Below are 20701 nucleotides of genomic sequence, written 5' to 3'. Positions count from 1 at the left end.
GGAAGGATTGCTTGAGGCCAAGAGTTCAGACCAGCCTGGACAATACAGTGAAACCGTCTCTACAAAAGCTTTTTTAAAAAATTAGGTGGGTGTGGTGGCACATGCCTGTAGTCCCTGCTACTTGGGAAACAGAGGCAGGAGGATTGCTTGAGTCCAGAAGTTGGAGGCTGCATTGAGTTATGATTGTGCCACTGCACTCTAGCATGGGCGATAAAGCAAGACCTTGCCTCTAAAATATATATAAGTATATATATATATGTATATATATGTGTGTATATATATAAAAATATATATATACGTATATATATACATATATATGTATATATATACATATATAAGTATATATATAAAAATATATATATAAGTATATATATAAATATATATATAAGTATATATATATAAGTATATATATATATAAAAACTTAAAGCATTTGGAACTCACTTGACTATATGGTGTGAAATCAAGATCTAAATTTGTTTTACCTGAATATTAAACCAATTTTTCTAACGTCATGTATTAGTTTGTTCTCATGCTGCTATGAAGAAATACCCAAGACTGGATAATTTATAAAGAAAGGAGGTTTAATTGACTCACAGTTCCACATGGCTGGGGAGGCCTCAGGAAATTTACAATCATGGTGGAAGGCACATCTTCACAGGGTGGGAGGAGAGAGAATGAGAGCCAAGCAAAGGGGTAAAAACTCCTTATAAGACTATCACCCCCAATGATTCAATTACCTCCCACCGGGGCCCTCCCATGATATGTGGAGATTATGGGAACTGCAATTCAAGATGAGATTTGGGTGGGGACACAGCCAAACCATATAGCATCATGTATTAAGTAATTTATTATTTCCTCAGTGACCATAAATGTCACTCACATTAAATACCCATGTGAGTTTCTGTTCTCTGTTTTATTGTAGGGTGTCTTACAACATATTTTAATATGAAAACCCGTGCTTTCTTATATTTTCCACATTGTTATATGTCTTCATACTAATTTTTGTCTTTAGATAAATTTCATTTACTAAATATTTATCACCAAAAGTCATTGAGATTTTAATTGGATTTCTTTTAAAAGATGAATCAAATTTTTAGTATGTATTATTTATAACATTGTGTTTTCTCATGCAAGGACATATATATTTCCAGGTTTTCAGCATATTTGTAGAAGCCTTGAACATTTTTGCTAAACTTTCTTGGGAAGGTCTTGTTTATTTGCATCATTTTCAGCTGAGCTACTTAATTGGTCATATTGCCTGTGGGAAAATATAGCTTTCCCTCTCTTCCCATAGTTATATCTCTGGCTTCTTTTTCTTGTTTTATTTTACTGGCCACTTTCCAAAGCTGTGGTTGGCAATGTTTCTGATTTTTAGAGAAGAAAAATGTCCCTAGGACAGCCTTTTGTAGGTAATGCTCAGAACTCTGGTTCTGATTTTATCAGATTGTCTAAAAAAGGACTTCTCTGTTCAAGAAAATATGCACCCCGTAGCCAAAAGAAAATGTCCATCACATTTAAGAAGAATCTTCCCAAGTCTAGATTACTAAGTGTACTCTGTTTTTGAGAAAGGTTGTTGAAATTGAGCAAAGGCATCCTCACACCTTTATGCATGAGCGATGCTCTGGAATGGGCTCATTCTGACTTTTAGGAGCTAACCATGAAACATCCAGGAATTGTGTGAGCCATCTGTCCAACCGTATGTAGCTTGAAATGAACCGTAGTGGGAGAATTTACACCATGGGAATTGGCAAACACCACTAACAAGTGTGTGTGTGTATTTTGAGAGATGGTTTGCTTAGCACACCACCTATTATGTAGATAATCTCATCCATGCCTTTATTTAATAAGGGGCATATTCTATATGCCAAACAAGGTAAGAAGAGTTTAATAAAAATTTCAGTAATTAAGGCAAAGTTTCAATGAATAATTATCCCAATAACCAATTGATAAAACAGTTATGATCAGTACTATAAATGTCAGATGCTGTCAGAGTTTATAAAACAGATGTGTGGTGAAATCTGATGCAAGATTTCCCCAAGGAAATGATGTGTCGACTTTGACCAGGCCACTTTGCAAGACTCTTGGTCTATCCCATGAATACATAAACAGTTGTTTCCTATCTGGATTTACCTGCATCACATTCAGGGAAAGCATATTTTATTTTAACAGCTTAGCGCAATCAATAGAACTCACTTTTGTGGGTACGTCCAGGCCTCAGGATTGAGTAGTAAAAGACTGATGGGAGGGAGATCTGGGATGGAAAGAACAAGATAGAGCATTGAGAGTAGAATGTGTAGGAGAGTCTCTGCCATCTCTTCTGAAAGGTTTGCCATTTCAAGACTTCCCAGGTTTGCTTTCTCACAAATAAAGTGACCACCAAGTCTGGCCGTTTGGTGTTCAGATATATAATTCTCTGTGTGTGGCAGACTGCTCCCCAGAAAATAAAAAGAATGAATTCCATTGTGTATGTGGACCACATTTGCTTTATCCAATCTGTCATTGATGGGCATTTAGGTTGATTCCATGACTTTGCCATTGTAAATAGTGCTGCAGTGAACATTCACATGCATGTGTTTTTATGTAAGAATGATTTATATTCCTCTGGGTATATACCCAGTAATGGGATTGCTGGGTCAAAGGGAATTTCTGCTTACTATGCAGCCATAAAAAAGAATGAGATCATGTCTTTTGCAGGAACATGGATGGAGCTGGAGGCCATTATCCTTAGCAAACTAACACAGGAACAGAAAACCAAATACTGCATGTTCTCACTTATAAATGGGAGGTAAATGATAAGAAATTATGAACACAAAGAAGGAAACAACAGACACTGGGGTATACTTGAGCGGGGAGGGTGGGAGGAAGGAGATGAGAGAGGGAGGGAGGGAGGGAGAGAGAGAGGGAGAGGAGCAGAAAAGATAACTCTTGGGTACTGGGTTTAATATGTGAGTAATGAAATAATCTGCACAACATGTACCCCTGACACAAGTTTACTATTGCAATAAACCTTCACATGTACCCTCAAACCTAAAATACAAGTTAAAAAAATTAATGAATTTCACATGGTTTGAAAAGAAATGAAATAAAAGTATGACTTGGAGTAATTCATATTCTCTAACTTCCCACCCAAATTCTACATACATATTTAAGTAGATTCTTGGAATTTTCCCCCCTCCACTTCTGCCTTTTTTGCTTTGAGTTTGTCAATAACTCAAGGTGCCAACAGGGTTTACTTTACCAAGCATTATTTATGTTACCTTTAGGCAATAGAAGCACCATTTTTCTATTGTATTTGCTGTTAAGATAGCTGATGAAATATCAGGACAACATGTTTATGAATGAGTTGTTTTTTAATTGAACTCAAACTTTAGTTCTTAGCGACAGAATTCCAAGTATAGTTGACCTTGCATGACAGCTAGAACAAAAAGGAATGTGATAATTCAGTGTTGTTCCATACATTTTAGCTTCAGTCATTTACACTTTTCCATATTGACTGAATACCTACCATTGAACATGATTCACCATTTGATGGAAGAAATGAGACAGACGCCTCAGTGAGTGTTGACAGGCTAGATGACCTCCTATACGCTCATTAGCAGAGGTAGATGAGGGAACTATAAAGGGAATAAATTTGAGTTAGAAACGAGGTCTTAGAAGAAAAGTCAGTCAAGGATGGCTATGATTTGTACAAGCCCCTTTAGCAGAGAATTGTCAGCTTAAGCCAGACCCAGGGATGTGGTTCTTTAGGGTTATTTTGGGAAAGAATGAGTGGTTCAGTTTGGCTTAAAGACGGGTTGTATGGGCTTTGGGGTGGAAGAAAATGCTGGACGTCTTGTGCTGCATTTTATTTACTCTTTTATTTTACTTATTTATTTTTAGAGACAGACTCTCGCTCTCACTCAGGCTGGAGTTCAGTGGCGTGATCATAGCTCACTGCATCCTTGACCTCCTTGGCTCTAGTGATCCTCCAATCTCAGCCTCCCAAGTAGTTGGGACTACAGGTGCACACCACCATGCTTGGCTAACTTTTAAAATTTTTTGTAGATACAGGGTTTTACTATGTTGCCCAGACTGGTCTCAAACTCCTAGCCTCAAGAGATTCTCCCACCTTGGCTTCCCAAAGCGCTGGCATTATAGCTGTCAGCCACTGTTCCCAGCCCCTGTACTGCATTTTAAAGCATGTTCCATATTGGAGTGAATTGGATAGTCAATATGGAACAGTTGTGGGGTTTTTGTTTGGTTTAGCGAGATACTTTGGAGTATGTAATCAGTAAGGAATTTAAACAACATTAAAAGAGGCATGGCGACTCAGGTTGATTTGCATTAGAAAAAATTAATTGGCTTCCTCGTAAAAATTAGTTAGGCTGTGATTGTCAGATCAGTGAGAAATTTCAGGAAAATTAATAGGAGATTGCATTGGATTGATTTCCATTAGGCAAAATTAATTGACCACCTGGTCAAAATTAGTTAGGAGGTGATTATCATGATTTAGACAAGGATTAATGAAAGTTTGATATAAAGTGGTTCTAGAGAAAACAGAAATTAGGAAAAATAGTTGCAAAATATAAGCGAGCTTCTCTAGAGTTTGGTGATTGTCTGCATGTAAAAAAGGAAATATAAGTTTCAAAAAAATGTTTGAACCTGAGTGACTATGAGTAACATGTCTCATTCAACCAGGGTGGGGAGATTGAAAGGGGGACTGTTTTTCTAGATAATGAATTGAGGGTATCATGCAAATAATTAAAAATAACAAAAGACAGATATCCATTCAATATCACCAGATCCAGAAACAATCACATTAAGAGGTTTTTGCTTTTCCATTATTTTAAAGTTCAGTTTCTTTGACTGTTCAATATTTATTAGTATGTTTGAAGCCAAAGACACAAAGAGAAGAAAGCTTAGGCTACGAGGACAAAAATGAAACTGTAGCCAGGTACAAAAAGGATTTGGAGACACAGAGCAAAGTGTTGAAGGAAGTACACTGGGAATTTTTATTTGGGTTTTGAGATCCAATTATTATAATCCCAAGTGTGAACTGATTGCAGATTGCTGAAAGGTTTATTAGCTTCCTATAAAACCTTCCTTAATTAGCCCCAACTGAGGCAATGCAGCTTCAAACAAGAAAATCTGCCTTTGTCAAAAAGTGCACTCAAATCAGCTTAGAGAACCACAGGCTGGAGGAACAGTCCCAGCTGGTCTGCAGAACTGCACACTTTACTGCTGAGACCCCACTGTGATTCATGGGCCATGGGGTCATCCAGCAGGAATTGGGGGCACCACAGCCCACTGCAAGGAAAGCCCAGAAATCATGGCTCCCTGCGGGTATTCACGACAAAGACTCACAAAGAGATGGAGACAACCTCAGGGTGCAGCTTTTGCTGAGTCCATGGACATGACTCAGACTCTGCTTCTCCCGCTGTCAGCCACAAAATCAGCATGAGAAAAATTAGGAAGGGTTAAAGAAAATCACGTTTGCTTTGCAAGAGAGGGGAGACTCAATGCGTTCAGTTTTCATCATCACAAATGGTATACGTTCAATGAGATGAAGGAAATTCTCATTAGTTGAAAGGTTTAATTGATCTTGGTGCAGCCTTATGCCCACAAAACAACCGCCCACTGCCAGTTAATTTGCCAGGATAAATAAAGCACGCTGGGCTCGTTCAAGCCTGGTGCATGGCTTCAGTGTTAAGGGTGGAGCTCACAAAAGCTTGCACGTCTCCCACATCTCTTTAAAGCTCTTTCCACATGCCTATAGAATGAATCACGCTGGAGCTGAAATCTCTAGTAAGTGCACTAGTAAAGTAAGAGGTCGAGATGAATTATATACTTGTATGCCGTTGCAGTCCCTCAGATTTTTTATTTTATTTTTCGGTAACTGTAACCATGGGAGCACAAAGGAAGGTCAGGCAGAACAAGAAGTACTGCCATAAGATTTGAAAAACCCTTCATTATAATTTTCTCACTTTATTAGAAGATGCGTAATAACGGAAGCCACGTAGACCAAGGATACTAAAAGATTTAACAAAAGTCATGCAACAACACAGGACCAGATGAAGCCTAGATAAGAAAACATTCAGACAGACAGAAGGGAATCCTATGATGGAAGTGATAATAGAGCATTATTAAGGCAAAAAATAATCAAAATAATATATATAAACACTTACCAATATTGTTGCAGTGTACAGTGTTGATGTCAAAGAAATGTTGGACAACAACATTAAAAAATGGGCAAACAGCCAGGCACAGTGGCTCATGCCTGTAATCCCAGCACTTTGGGAGGCTGAGGCAGGCAGATCACTTGAGGCCAGCAGTTTGAGACCAGCCTGGCCAACATGGCGAGACCCTGTCTCTATTAAAAATACAAAAATTAGCCGGGCATGGTGACACATGCCTGTAATCCCAGCTACATGGGAGGCTAAGGCAGGAGAATTGCTTGAATCCGGGAGGCAGAGGTTCCAGTGAGCTAATATCATGCCTCTGCACTCCAGACTGGGTAACAGAGCAAGATACTGTTTCCGAAAAAAAAAGAAAAAAAAGAAAAAAGAAAAAATGGGCAAAGGATATGAACAGACACATCTACAAAAAAGACATAACACACAGCCAACAAACTTGAAAAAATACTCCATATTACTAATCATCAGAGAAATGCAAATTAAAATCACAATGAGATACCATCTCACACCAGTCAGAATGGCTATGATTAAAAAGTCAAAAACAACAGATGCTCCCAAGATTGCAGAGAAAAGGGAACACTTATACACGGTTAGTGGAAATGTAAATTAGCCCAGCTACTGTGGAAAGCAGTTTGGAGATTTCTCAAAAAACAAAAACAGAACTACCATTCGACCCATCAATCCCATTACTCAGTATATGCTCGAAGGAATATACATTGTTCTACCATAAAGACACATGCACGTGTATGTTCATGGCAGCACTATTCACAATAGCAAAGGTAAGGAATCAACTTAGATGCCTATTAAGAGCAGACTGAATAAAGAAAATGTGGTGCATATACACCATGGAATACTATGAAGCCATAAAAAGAATGAGATTATGTTCTTTGCGGCTACATGGATGGAGCTGGAAGCCATTATTCTAAGTGAATTAACAGAGGAACGGAACAGAAAACAAAATACCACAAGTTCTCACTTATCAGTGGGAGCTAAGCATTGAGTACACATGGACACAAAGGTGAGAACAATATACACCAACGCCTACTTGAGGGTGGAGGGTGGGGATCAAAAAACTACCTGTGGGATACTACACTTATTATCTGGGTGATGAAATAATCTGTACACCAAACCCCCGTGACTTGCAATTTATCTATTTAACAAACCTGTACATGAACTCTCTGAACATAAAATAGAAGTTGGAGAGAAAAAGTAAATAAAAATAAATAAATAAATGTATGAGACTTAGCTGAATGCTATAATATTTTATAACAAATGAAATATATATTCTTTGAGCAATGCAGAAATAAAGTTTTTGTTTAATTGTATATCAAACAATTTATAAGGCGATTTCTGTGAAAGACAAGGCTACAAAATACATTGCTTTTACTGAGAGGTCACTGAAAAACTACTAAGATAATTGGCAAAAAGAGCAAGGTTCTTGAATTAAGAAAATGGAAAGATAACTCCGGTATGCTAAGTGAATGATATTGGCTAGTGCTTCCTCTAGGTTCCCAGGAATACCGATGAAGCAGATAATATTTGCCCATTTTCCACGTGAGGACTGGGACACACAGAAACCAAATGGTGAATAGCTGTCAATAGCTGGTCCCTTGGAGTCAGACGTGGGTGCAGCTCAGCTGTGCCACTTTCCTTGGTGGTGACGTTGGTTCATTCTTGTGCCTATTGTGCAGCCATGGGCTGCAAATCTAGAATTAGAGCCGAGGTCTTGGCAGCTGCAGATATTCTGCTCTTTTTATTACTCCTTGATCCTCCTGCAGAGAGTCTGACACAGAAACAGGAGAATTAGTATATGTACTTCAGCATTTAACCGGGATCTAACATCAACTTGTAGCTGCTTTCCCAATAGTTCATGCAAACAGAAGCCTTCTAAACATGCCATGTCTCTGTTGGGTCAAATAAAGTGGCTCCATTCTGGAATTTTCCTTAATAACCATATTTTAATGTGTATTTTCTGATATCTTCCTTAACATTACTTACAATATTAATAACTCTTGACTGAGTATCTTGAGCTAGGCACTGGGCTGGGCGTTTTGCACTGAAGTCTACAGTCTTTCAGAAATCCCCAGAGGTGTGCATGCACTACATGGCCTCAAGCCCAAGTTGAGGGAGAGAAGAGAACTAGTTTTATGTGGCACTTCTAGGAAGAGATGAAGCTGAGTTTTGCACTCTTGCCTGTAAACAACAAATCTCAACGATGTTTTGGGTTTGTTGCATAGTGAATGATAATTATTATCACCTTTAGGATTTCTGGTGTGGTTCCTGGCATGTCAGTCATAATGAAAAGCAACAACATGATGGCCTTCCAGACAATGTACTCTGCACAATTTTAACTGGCTCAATATATACATATATATATTGAGCAATGCAGAAATAAAGTTTTTGTTTAATTGTGCATTGAAAAATTTATGAGGTGATTTCTGCAAAATATAGAGCCACAAAATGTATTGCTTTTGCTGAGAGGGCATTGAAAATCTGCTAGAATAATCAGCAGGAAAAGTGAGGTCCTTGAATTGAGAAAATGGAAAGATAGGGAACATTTCTTCATGGCTGAAAGTGTCATTTTGCCTGGCTGGAAAAGAGGAGAACCATGATTAAGGGGTATGTCAACCAAGAGATAACATTTTTGTCTGTTCTGTGTTGCTATAACAGAATACCACAGACTGGATAATTGAAAATGAACAGAAATTTATTTCAGTCATGGTTCTGGAGTCTGGGAAGTCCAAAATCAAGGGGCTGCATCTGGTGAGGGCCTTCTTGCTGTCTCCTCACATGGGGAAGGCATCACATGGTGAGAGAGAACAAGAGATCAAACTCACAATCTCAAAGCCTTTTATAATCCATTCATGAGAGTAGGGTTCTCATCACCTAAACACCTCCCAAAAGACTCCACCTCCCAACACTGTTGTATTAAGAATTAAGTTTCCAACACATGCTTTTTAGGAGACACATTCAAACCATATCAGATACTCATAACAAACTTTTTAAACCTATATTCATGTATTCCATTAGGCAAATATAGGTTATATATATATATATATATATATATTTATATGATATTCATATTTAGTAAGTAAATATACAAAATATATAAATATAGGTTATATATGATATTTATATAAATTTATATATTATATGTAAATATATATTTATGTAAATATTTATATGCGTATATTTTATATATTTATATATAAATATATAGAAAATATTTCATTCCAATATATATTCCATTCTAATATTATATATATAACTTCAACATATTTCTAGATATGTTTCATATGTTTCAAGATAGATATAGATACTGGTACAACAAAGATACATAACTTTTCATGGCTCAATAGTTCATTTATTTTTAGCACTGAATAATATTCCACTGTTGATAAATTGATGTTGAGGAAGGCTATACATTTATAGGGACAGGAGGTCTGGGGAACTCTCTGTACCTCGTGTTCAGTTTTGCTATGAACTTAAAACTGCTCTAGAAAATAAAGTCTATTAAAAAATATGCACTGATCAAGCTAAACTATGAAAAACTAAATTTTGTTAAATCCAAAATATTTCCTTTCTTAAAAAAAAAGTATAATGTTATCTCCTTTGCTGAGACAAAGGGGAAACATTAATTATTTCCTAAGAAGTATGGGTATGAAGACTCTCCTCTTTAGGTCTCTAAAACTTCTTTGTCTGTTCCTTCTGTATAAGCAGAACTTTGGGTGTCTGGCTCCCTCCATCAATGGGCCATGTGGCTGGACAAAAGAAAGAGCAAGGTTCTTGAACTGAGTATCAGTTCTTTCTCCTGCTATTGGAGCCACGGTGGAGTGAAAAATGCTTTGTACAGTGGAAAGGTGCAATGTTGAGTCAAACTTTTCTGTTTATTCAGTTGACATCCTCTGAGGAAGCACCATGGCAAGGCTTGTGCTTCTGCAGATCCTGGACTAAAATTAGAATAAATGTGCAGTTCTTGCTGGTGCATGGCCAGCATTAGATGCCTCCCATGGGTAAAATTCCCAGAGAAAAACAGGAATCTGGGTATTCAATACATCCATCTTAAAAGAAAAAGCAAAACCCAATTTTCATCAGTTTTAAATTTCATTCTTTAAAAGAACTAAAAATACAATTACATTTTTTAAAAATACTCAGATTCTCTCTCATTTTATTTGTAAGCCTTGTTATATCCATGTAATTTATGTCTGATTCCTCAGAAGTAGACCCTGAGAGGAAGGGCTCCCAAGAAACCTGTAGGAATGTTGGTGGAACAATCCGGGGCGGGGGAGGGGGGAAACAAAAATCAAGCAAGGTGGGATCTCAGGCCAAGTTGTAGGGAAGGAAAGTTTCATTTAGCATGCTTCAAATCAGTGCCTGCACACTAATTTTTATACATTTTAAACACAGGTTACCATCATTTTAGCTCAGCATTCTGTGTGCAATTAATAGCAATTTTCTCATAATTAACTAATGCGTTCTCTTCATGCGCTCACTCCCAAATTGTTGGCCATATCTGGTCTCTACCCTGGAATCCATCATTTCTGCACATCTCTCTGAAAGATAAAATTTCAGTTTATTTCCAATTTGTTAATATATTACTCCCTTCCTCCCTCCATGAATTTTTGTGCTAAGTTTTCTAAAGCTTGGTCCCTAAATTATGTCCTGGTGATACAAGAACCAAGAACAGGTAATATATCATGTTCCTTAGCCCACATGTGGTTATATGGACCTGTTATATGGTCTTGTCTTGCTGACCACCTAGTTTTATTCTTGAAAGATAACTTCCCTTGAAACTACTTTTCCAAACTTTTACTCATTCTATGATCTTTGTGAGAAAGATTTCTGCACTTTTCATAGTAGGGCAGAGCTACATCTTGAACTATCAACACACATGTGAAATCATCCCTATAAACTTCATAAAATTTAGCAGGGGAAAAACAAAGGGGAGAAATGAAAATAAACCAAGCTCACAGCACACTCAACACTCATCCTGAGGTCAGCTTGCTCCCTGTCCTGCTTTGTCATAGTTGTTTCGTGCCTCTTGTCCTAGAATCACATAGACCCTAGATTAGAGTTCCCTTAACTGCTTTCTAGATAACAACTTCAACATTATGAAACAAGTTTTCCCTTTGAGATATTCTTTCAGGTCCTGCATACTGATGAAACTACTGATGCCAGGTGGTCTGAAGGACACCACAAGAAGCTAACTCACCAAAGAATGCAGTTTCCATATCCTGATGACTTCATCCTCCTTACCCAAAGCAGTCAATGACCCCAATTTTCCAGCCCCTTATCCTCTGCAATCCCTTTAAAAACTACAGCTCAGGACTCCACAGGGAGAGTGGAGTCAGTGTTTTCTCACTCAGTGTGCTGCAATAATTAAGCTCTTTCTCTGCTGCAAACCCTGCTGTCTCAGTGTATTGGTTTGTTACTGCACAGTGGGCATACAGACTCAGTGGTCCTATAACACATAGTCCAAGACAGCTGTTGTTGGGTAAGTCTTTCAGGTCCTGCTTGCCTGCACACAAAGTTTCAAAGGGGAGAAGGCTATAAGATTTCTTCATTGGCTACAAATAAAATGTCTTAGAAAAACTCCCATGTTACTTTCTTCAGTCTTCCCAGTGGTTCTCAAAGTGTGGTACCTGGACCAGCCTCATCACCTGGGAATTTGTTAGAAATGCAAATTCTAGAATCCTTCCCTAGACCCACCAAATGAGAAGGAGTGGGACCTAGCATTCTGTGTTTTGACAAGCCCTCCATAAGCTTCTAATGCTCCCTCGACATTGAGAACCACTGGTTAGGACTGCAATCTCTCTCATCAAATCTCATTCAGATCATGACCTAATTAGCAAACAAGACTGTGAGTCATTCCTGGACCAACCTGCCTTTTTTTCTTTATATATACCAAAACTTTCTGTTTCAGCTGACTAAATGGGTGGAATTCAGAAAGGAGCAGCCAGTTTATGAGGACACTGTGAAGATTTAACATATTATGGTGGGGTTGCAGATTAAATCCACACAGGGACTTAAAAAAATTGAAACATTACAATATAAGACACAGATATCAAACATTTCCAGGCTTTAAGAAAATCTAAGACTGAACACAGTGGCTCATGCCTATAAATCCTAGCACTTTGGGAGGCTAAGGTGGAAGGATTGCATGAGGCCAGGAGTTTGAGGCTAGCCTGGGCAACATAGTGCAACCCTGTGTCTACAAAAAAACTAAAAAATTTAGCTAGGTGTGATGGCATGTGCCTCTAGTCCCAGCTACTTGGGAGGCTGAGGCAGGAGGATGACTTGAGCCCAGGAGTTTGAGGCTGTAGTGAGCCATGATTGCACAACTGCTCTCCAGCCAGAGGAACAGAGCAAGATCCTGTCTCTAAAATAATAATAATAATAATAATAATAATAATAATAATAATAATAATAAAATTTTAAAAAGAACGAAAGAGAAGATCTAAGAAAATTGAAAGAATGGTATCAGAATATAACTTGGGCAAGCTATAACTATATAAAGAAGAGGTAGTAATCCACAGACTACTTTCTAAACCTCTGTATGTCTTCCCATTCAGCAAGCTGCAAATAACAACATACACCTGTAAATCAGAGTCAAGGGAGTTGCATCAATGACTAAAGCAAGGCTCCATTAACCTATTTACAACCAAGATAGCAGCCCACTTTGAGTCTCATGAGTCTCACAGTGGGCCGCCATCTTGGTTGTAAATAGGTTAATGCCTCCAAGGATCATTTTCTCAGACTTGGACTCTCTTTCATGGTGAATGTTTTATAGCATTCCTTTTACAAAAATGTAATGAAAACCACTGATAATGAACACACCTGCACAAATAATTTTCCAACATGTATTTGAGGCTGTAACTGCAATGTAAAACAGAAATGTAACAGGAAAGCAACTCTTATTTTAAAACACCATGGCATTTTAATAGGTAAATGATAAGGTAGGGATGGAACAAAAGACCCACAGGTTTGCTCTAGATGTAATCATTGAGATAGATACCAGAACTGCCAACACTGGTGTGTTGTGTTGGCAACTCAAATAGCAGCAGGAGGATTTCCATAGATGGTGTTTTCCAAAGTGGTGACTAGTTCTTGATCAGGTTCTGATCAAGGCAATTGACTGCAGTCCTGTTTCCACTCTTTTGCTTTCTTGTGAATTTCATGTTGATTAAAACTGTTCAAACATAGATGAAACTGGAGGTCATGATGTTAAGTGAAGTAAGCCAGCCACTGGAAGACAGTGCATATTCTCACTCCTGTGTGGGAACTCAAAAAAGTGGATCTCACGGAGATACAGTGTAGAATGATGGTTACCAGAGGCTGGGGAGAGAAGTCTCACAGTGGGCCACCATCATGAGTCTCACACTGGGCTGCCATCTTGGTTGTAAATAGGTTAATAGAGCCTTGCTTTAGTCATTGATGAAACCCACTTGAATATGTGTTGAATACTTAGAACAATAGACATCCACAGTAGGTATCCATTAATTTCAATAATTAGTATTTGCAACCAAATTTATTCAGATGATCAGTCTTCATGAAAACTAACCTTGGGTAAGTAGGATGAAGCTGTTTATGAGTATAACAGTAAGCCACTGAATGAATATACTCCTACCTAATAGATTATAACTTATGTCTTAGCTTATTGAGGCAAACTATAAAAATATTTTTAAGAGCAACCATTTATCACACAATGTTTGGACTGTTGCAACCTTCTTGTTTCTTGCTGTCAAAATTAAATCTATGGCATGTACTCATTGATCCTTCATGGAGGGAACTCCCTTTACTATTTTTAGTTTTCAATTTATTTTTATTTTTAATTGACAAATAACAATTACATGTATTTATGGGTTAAAACGTGATTTTTATACATTTATACATTGTGGCATTAACAAATCAGGCTAATTAAAATAATCATCACTTCACATATTTGTCATGTCTTTATGGTGAGAACATTTGAAATTCAATTTTTAGAGCAATTTAAAAATATACGATATATTATTAACTACAGTCACTGATATGGTTTGGCTCTGTGTCTCCACCCAAATATCATGTCAAATTGTAATCCCCAGTGTTGGAGGAGGGGCCTGGTGAGAGGTGATTAAATCGTGGGAGTGGACTTCCTTCTTGCTCCTCTTGTGATAGTCAGGGAGTTCTCATGAGATCTGATGGTTTAAAAGTGTGTGGCATCTCCCCACTCACTCCTTCTTTCTCTCCTCCATCACCATGGTAAGATATGCTTGCTTCCCCTTCATCTTCTGTCATGATTGTATGTTTCCTGAGGCCTCCCCAGCCATGCCTCCTGTACAGCCTGCAGAACCATGAGCCAATTACACCTCTTTTCTTTATAAATTACCCAGTCTCACATAGTTCTTTATAGCAATGCCAGAACAAACAAATACACTCACCTTGTTATGCAATAGATCACCAGAACTTATCCTTCCTGTCTAACTGAAACTTTGTACCCTTTGACCAACATACACTGCATGCCCCCATCCTCTGGCACCCACCATTCTACTCTCTATTTCTATGAGTTTGACTTTTTTAGATTCCACGTATGAGGGAGATTATGCAATTTTTGTTTTCCATGCCAACTTCCAGGGCATGGAATGGTGTGGACGGTACACGTGCCCCAAATTGGCTACAGAGCTGTGGGCAGAAAACTTGAAGTCAACTTGAGGGCATTTTGGAATCTGGCTCTGAGGCACACAGCAGGCTTGATGGGTCTTTAATGACAACCATTGGAGAAACAGGATAATATTCCTCCCTGCCTCTGTCCACTTGGGATTCTATAATAAAACAGCATACACTGAGTGGCTAAAGCAATGATCTTCAATTTCTCATGGTTCTGGAGGCTGGAAGTCCAAGATCTGGGTGCCAGCAGATCCAGGGTCTGGAAAGGACTCTCCTTTTGGTTTGCAGGTGGCTACCTTCTTGTGTCTGCAAATGGTGGTGAGAGAGAGAGGGTGGGGAATGAGCTCTCTTGTGTCTCTAATTATAAGGGCACTAATCCCATCATGAGGGCTCCATTCTCATGACCTGTTTTTCAAAATCCCCATCTTCAAATACCATCTGTCTTAGCCTTACAGGCTGCTATAATGAATACACATTAAAATGGGTTGCTTATAAACAACATAAATTTATTCCTTCCAGTTCTGGAGGCTGGAAGTCCAAGATCAAGTTGTGGCAGATTTGGTGTCTGGTGAGGACTGGCTTCCTGGTTCATACATGGTACTATGCCCATCCTGGTTCATAGACGACACTATGTTCTTGCTGTGCCCTCACATGGTAGAAGGGGCAAGGGAGCTCTCTGGGTCCCTTTTTATAAGCGCACTCATCCCATTCATGAGGCTCCACCCTCATGACCTCATTACCTCCCAAAGGCACCACCTCCTAACACCATCACCTTGGAGGTGAACATTTCAACACATGAAATTTGGAAGACACAGACGTTCAGATCATAGCACCATGATAGTAAAGATTGGGATTCCAAAACACATAAATTTTGGGAAGGGGACATAGACATTCATTCCACTGCATCCCTTATCTGCCCTGTGGAAAGAGAATGCATGCCTATTGAATTCAGATGCCTGCCCATTTAACTGGCATTTTCACTTGCTGGGCGTGGACGGTACACGTGCCCCAAATTGGCTACAGAGCTGTGGGCAGAAAGCTTGAAGACAGCTTGAGGGCATTTTGGAATCTGGCTCTGAGGCACACAGCAGACTTGATGGGTCTTTAATGACAACCAGAGACTTGGAGGTGGAGAGTGATCTTCTACACAACAGATGAGAATGAACTTCTCTCCAACATTTCTTTGGATGAAGCAACTCAAACCATCCATGGGACTAAATTCTCTGGCCTGTCAATACCCAGGTGATTGGAAATTCTTCTGGGAAGAAACCTTCTCATTCCCCATTTGGCAGGCTCCTAATGCCACTGCACCATTGCAGATTCCTACAATGCTCATCAACACAATTCACTGGCAGCTCATTTTACCTAGGGATTTGACTCTCGACATCACTGAGTGGGTAGAGAAAAGCTTTCCATCTCTCAGATATTTGGAAAGAAGACCAGAACTGGGCCATGTACACAGGAAGGGGGGAATCCTGCCATCTGTAGCAATGGGACTGCTTTCTTGGGAAAAACTTGGTTTTATTGGGTTTAGAAAGTCTGCTCATCAGAACTACCATCTCGTCCAGCAATCCCACTTACTGGATATCTACCCAAAGGAAAACAAATCATTCTATCAAAAAGATACCTGTACTCAAATGCTTATTGTAGCACTATTCACAACAGCAAAGATATGGAATCAACCTAAGTGTCCATCAGCACATGAATGGTTAAAGAAAATGTGGTATATATACCCACCATGTGTATTAATCTGTTCTCATGCTGCTGATAAAGACAAACCCAAGACTGGGTAATTTATAAAAGAGGTTTTAATGGACTCACAGTTCCATGTGGCTGGGGAGGCCTCACAATCATGGCAGAAGAGCAGGGCACATCTTACATGGTGGCAGACAAGAAGAGAATGAGAACCCAGCAAAAGGTGAAACCCCTTATAAAACCATCAGATCTTGCTGAAGTTGCTTATCAGTTTAAGGAGATTTTGGGCTGAGACGATGGGGTTTTCTAAATATACAATCATGTCATCTGCAAACAGGGACAATTTGACTTCCTCATTTCCTAACTGAATACCCTTTATTTCTTTCTCTTGCCTGATCGCCCTGGCCAGAACTTCCAACACTATGTTGAATAGGAGAGAGGGCATCCTTGTCTTGTGCTGGTTTTCAAAGGGAATGCTTCCAGTTTTTGTCAAAGTCTCAGGATACAAAATCAATTCTGCAAAAATCACAAGCATTCCTATACACCTTTAACAAACAGAGAAGTAAATCACGAGTGAACTCCCATTCACAATTGCTACTAAGAGAATAAAATGCCTAGGAATCCAACTTACAAGGGATGTGAAGGACCTCTTCAAGGAGAACTACAAACCACTGCTCAAGGAAATAAGAGGACACAAACAAATGGAAGAATATTCCATGCTCGTGGATAGGAAGAATCAATATCGTGAAAATGGCCATAGTGCCCAAAGTCATTTATAGATTCAATGCCACCTCCATCAAGCTACCAATGACTTTCTTCACAGAATTGGAAAAAACTACTTTAAAGTTCATATGGAACCAAAAAAGAGCTCACATTGCTAAGACAATCCTAAGCAAAAAGAACAAAGCTGGAGGCATCACGCTACCTGACTTCAAACTATACTACAAGGCTACAGTAACCAAAACAGCATGGTACTGGTACCAAAACAGAGATATAGACCAATGGAACAGAACAGAGGCCCCAGAAATAACACCACACATCTACAACCATCTGATCTTTGACAAACCTGAGAAAAACAAGCAATGGGGAAAGGATTCCCTATTTAATAAATGGTGCTGGGAAAACTGGCTAGCCATATGTAGAAAGCTGAAATTCGATCCCTTCCTTACACCTTATATGAAAATTAATTCAAGATGGATTAAAGACTTAAATGTTAGACCTAAAACCATAAAAACCCTAGAAGAAAACCTAGGCAATACCATTCAGGTCATAGACATGGGCAAGGACTTCAAGACTAAAATACCAAAAGCAGTGGCAACAAAAGCCAAAATAGACAAATGGGATCTAATTAAACTAAAGAGCTTCGGCACGGCAAAAGAAACTACTGTCAGAGTGAACAGGCAACCTACAGAATGGGAGAAAATTTTTGCAATCTACCCATCTGACTAATATCCAGAATTTACAAAGAACTCAAACAAATTTACGAGAAAAAAACAACCCCATCAAAAAGTGGGTGAAGGATATGAACAGACACTTCTCAAAAGAAGACATCTATGCAGCCAACAGACACATGAAAAAATGCTCATCATCACTAGTCATCAGAGAAATGCAAATCAAAACCACAATGAGATACCATCTCATGCCAGTTAGACTGGTAATCATTAAAAAGTCAGGAAACAACAGATGCTGGAGAGGATGTGGAGAAATAGGAATGCTTTTACACTGTTGGTGGGAGTGTAAATTAGTTCAACCATTGTGGAAGGCAGTGTGGTGATTCCTCAAAGATCTAGAACTAGAATAACCATTTGACCCAGCAATCCCATTACTGGGTATATATCCAAAGGATTATAAATCATGCTACTATAAAGACACATGCGCAAGTATGTTTATTGTGGCACTATTCACAACAGCAAAGACTTGGAACCAACCCAGACGTCCATCAGTGATAGACTGGATTAAGAAAATGTGGCACATATACACCATGGAATACTATGCAGCCATAAAAAAGAATGAGTTCATGTCCTTTGCAGGGACATGGATGAAGCTGGAAACCATCATTCTCAGCAAACTATCACAAGGACAGAAAACCAAACAGCACATGTTCTCACTCATAGGTGGGAATTGAACAATGAGAACACTTGGACACAGGGCGGGGAACATCACATACCAGGACCTGTCAGGGGGTGGGGGTCTGGCGGGGGGATAGCATTGGGAGAAATACCTAATGTAAATGATGAGTTGATGGGTGCAGCAAACCAACATGTATACCTATGTATCAAACCTGCACATGTATACCTATGTATCAAACCTGCACGTTGTGTACATGTACCCTAGAACTTAAAGTATAATTTAAAAAAAAATCAGATCTCGTGAGACTTATTCACTACCATGTGAACATTATGACGGAGACTGCTCCCATGATTCAGTTATCTCCCACTGGGTCCCTCCCACAACACGTGGGAATTATGGAAGCTGCAATTCAAGATGAGATTTGTGTGGGGACACAGCCAAACCATGTCACCATGGAATAGTACACAGCCCCCCAAAAGAATGAAATCATGACTTTTGCAGCAACATGGATAGAACTGGAGGACATTATCCTAAGTGAAACAACTCCAAAACAGGAAGACAAACACCCCATGTTCTCACTTATAAGTGGGAGCTAAACACTGTGTAGACATGGACATAGACAGTGGAATAAGAGACATTGGAGACTGGGAAAGGAGGGAGGGGAGAGGAAGGTGAGGGATGAGAAATTACCCAGTGGATACAATGTACACTATTTGAGTGATAGTTACAGTAAAAGCCCAGACTTCAGCACTCTGCAATCTCTCCATGTAACAAAACTGCACTGGTATCCCCTAAATCTATAAAAATAAAAAAACGTTTAAAAATTACAAATAAGAGGCCAGGTGTGGTGGCTCATGCCTGTAATCCCAGCACTTTGGGAGGCTGAGGCTAGTGGATTGCTTGAGTTCAGGAGTTCGAGAGCAGCCCGGGTAACATGGCAAAACCCCATCTCTACAAAAAAATACAAAAAGATTAGCCAGGCAGGTGGTGCATGTCTGTAGTCCCAGCTACTTGGGAGCCTGAGGTGGGAGTATTTCTTGTACCCAGGAGATCGATGCAGTGAGCCAAGATCACACCACTGCACTTCAGCCTGGGCAACAGAGGGAGACCCTGTCTCAAAAAATAAAAATAAAAGTAAAAATACTCAACCTTACCTTATTCTTAAGTATCCATTGCTGTGTGGCTCTGGGGTGGCTGTGCCTCCTGGGGTAAAAATGTACCAGCATTTTTCTGCAAAGAATGGGGAATAAATAGGGTTTGGAGAAATGGAGTCTCTATGAAGGTATTTACTTACAACGCAAGAGGACATGGGGAAAACCACAAGTCATTTTATTTTGGTTTCTTCAACAATGAAGGACTTCCTCTCTTTGAGGAAGATGGTGCTTTCTGTGTGTGTGTGTGTGTGTTTGTGTGTTTGTGTGCGCACACACACACACACACACACACGCTCATTAAGCATTTACAGTCCTGGAATGTTATTCTGACTACTCATAGCAACTCCACTTCCTGCCCACCCAAACAGTCATCCGTTATGGAAAATATGCCTGCCTCTGAAATATTTACCGGTGCCCCGGAGTGCCACACAGGCATTTCTTATAAATACTCAACCTTTTGCTCAAGTCTCCAGGGGTCCCTTTTCTCTCTGGGTAGCAGGGTGAGTGTCCATGATTTGCTGACGCTGCAAGCTCCCCCATGTCCAGCTGCTCTGTGATATTTATTTTCCACCTCCGATAATTAACCTCATCCTCCTCTCAAAATGTAAGCAGCAGGCAGCTTTAGAAAGATGGTGCAGATTTGCAGATTGCAGGCTTCAACATGCAGGACCTTGTCGAGTGCATTCAGAGGCTGGTTTGATTGAAGGAGATTTTTGATGGCACAGTGAGTCAGGGCAGCTACAGAGGTACCACTGGACGGTGGAAAGCCACCGTGGAACGAAAGTCTCTGCGGGAATCAGCTGAGTGGCCTTGAATTAGAAAGGGATGTGGGGCAGATGTAAGGAGTTGACACTGAATTTGCACAATGCTGCCTTGTGTGTTTTCTTGCCTGTCTCCACGACCCCTCTCGAAAGCCACCTGGAAATACTGGACGCATAAACTTGGCATGGATTTAACATCAT

General features: G+C 39.4%; 1 long non-coding RNA gene across 1 annotated transcript; it reads right to left on the bottom strand.

Moving 5' to 3' along the window:
- On the bottom strand, nt 7459-20292 carry LINC01546 (long intergenic non-protein coding RNA 1546). The gene is made up of 3 exons (NR_038428.1): nt 20194-20292; nt 19740-19815; nt 7459-7957 (listed from the first exon to the last, which is right to left on the bottom strand). It is a non-coding gene; the product is annotated as a long intergenic non-protein coding RNA 1546 (long non-coding RNA).

Source organism: Homo sapiens, chromosome X, assembly GCF_000001405.40.
Source record: "Homo sapiens chromosome X, GRCh38.p14 Primary Assembly".
In the NCBI taxonomy this organism is placed as follows: domain Eukaryota; kingdom Metazoa; phylum Chordata; class Mammalia; order Primates; family Hominidae; genus Homo; species Homo sapiens.
Note: the sequence above shows the minus strand (reverse complement) of the source record. Positions and strands in the feature narration are given on the sequence as shown.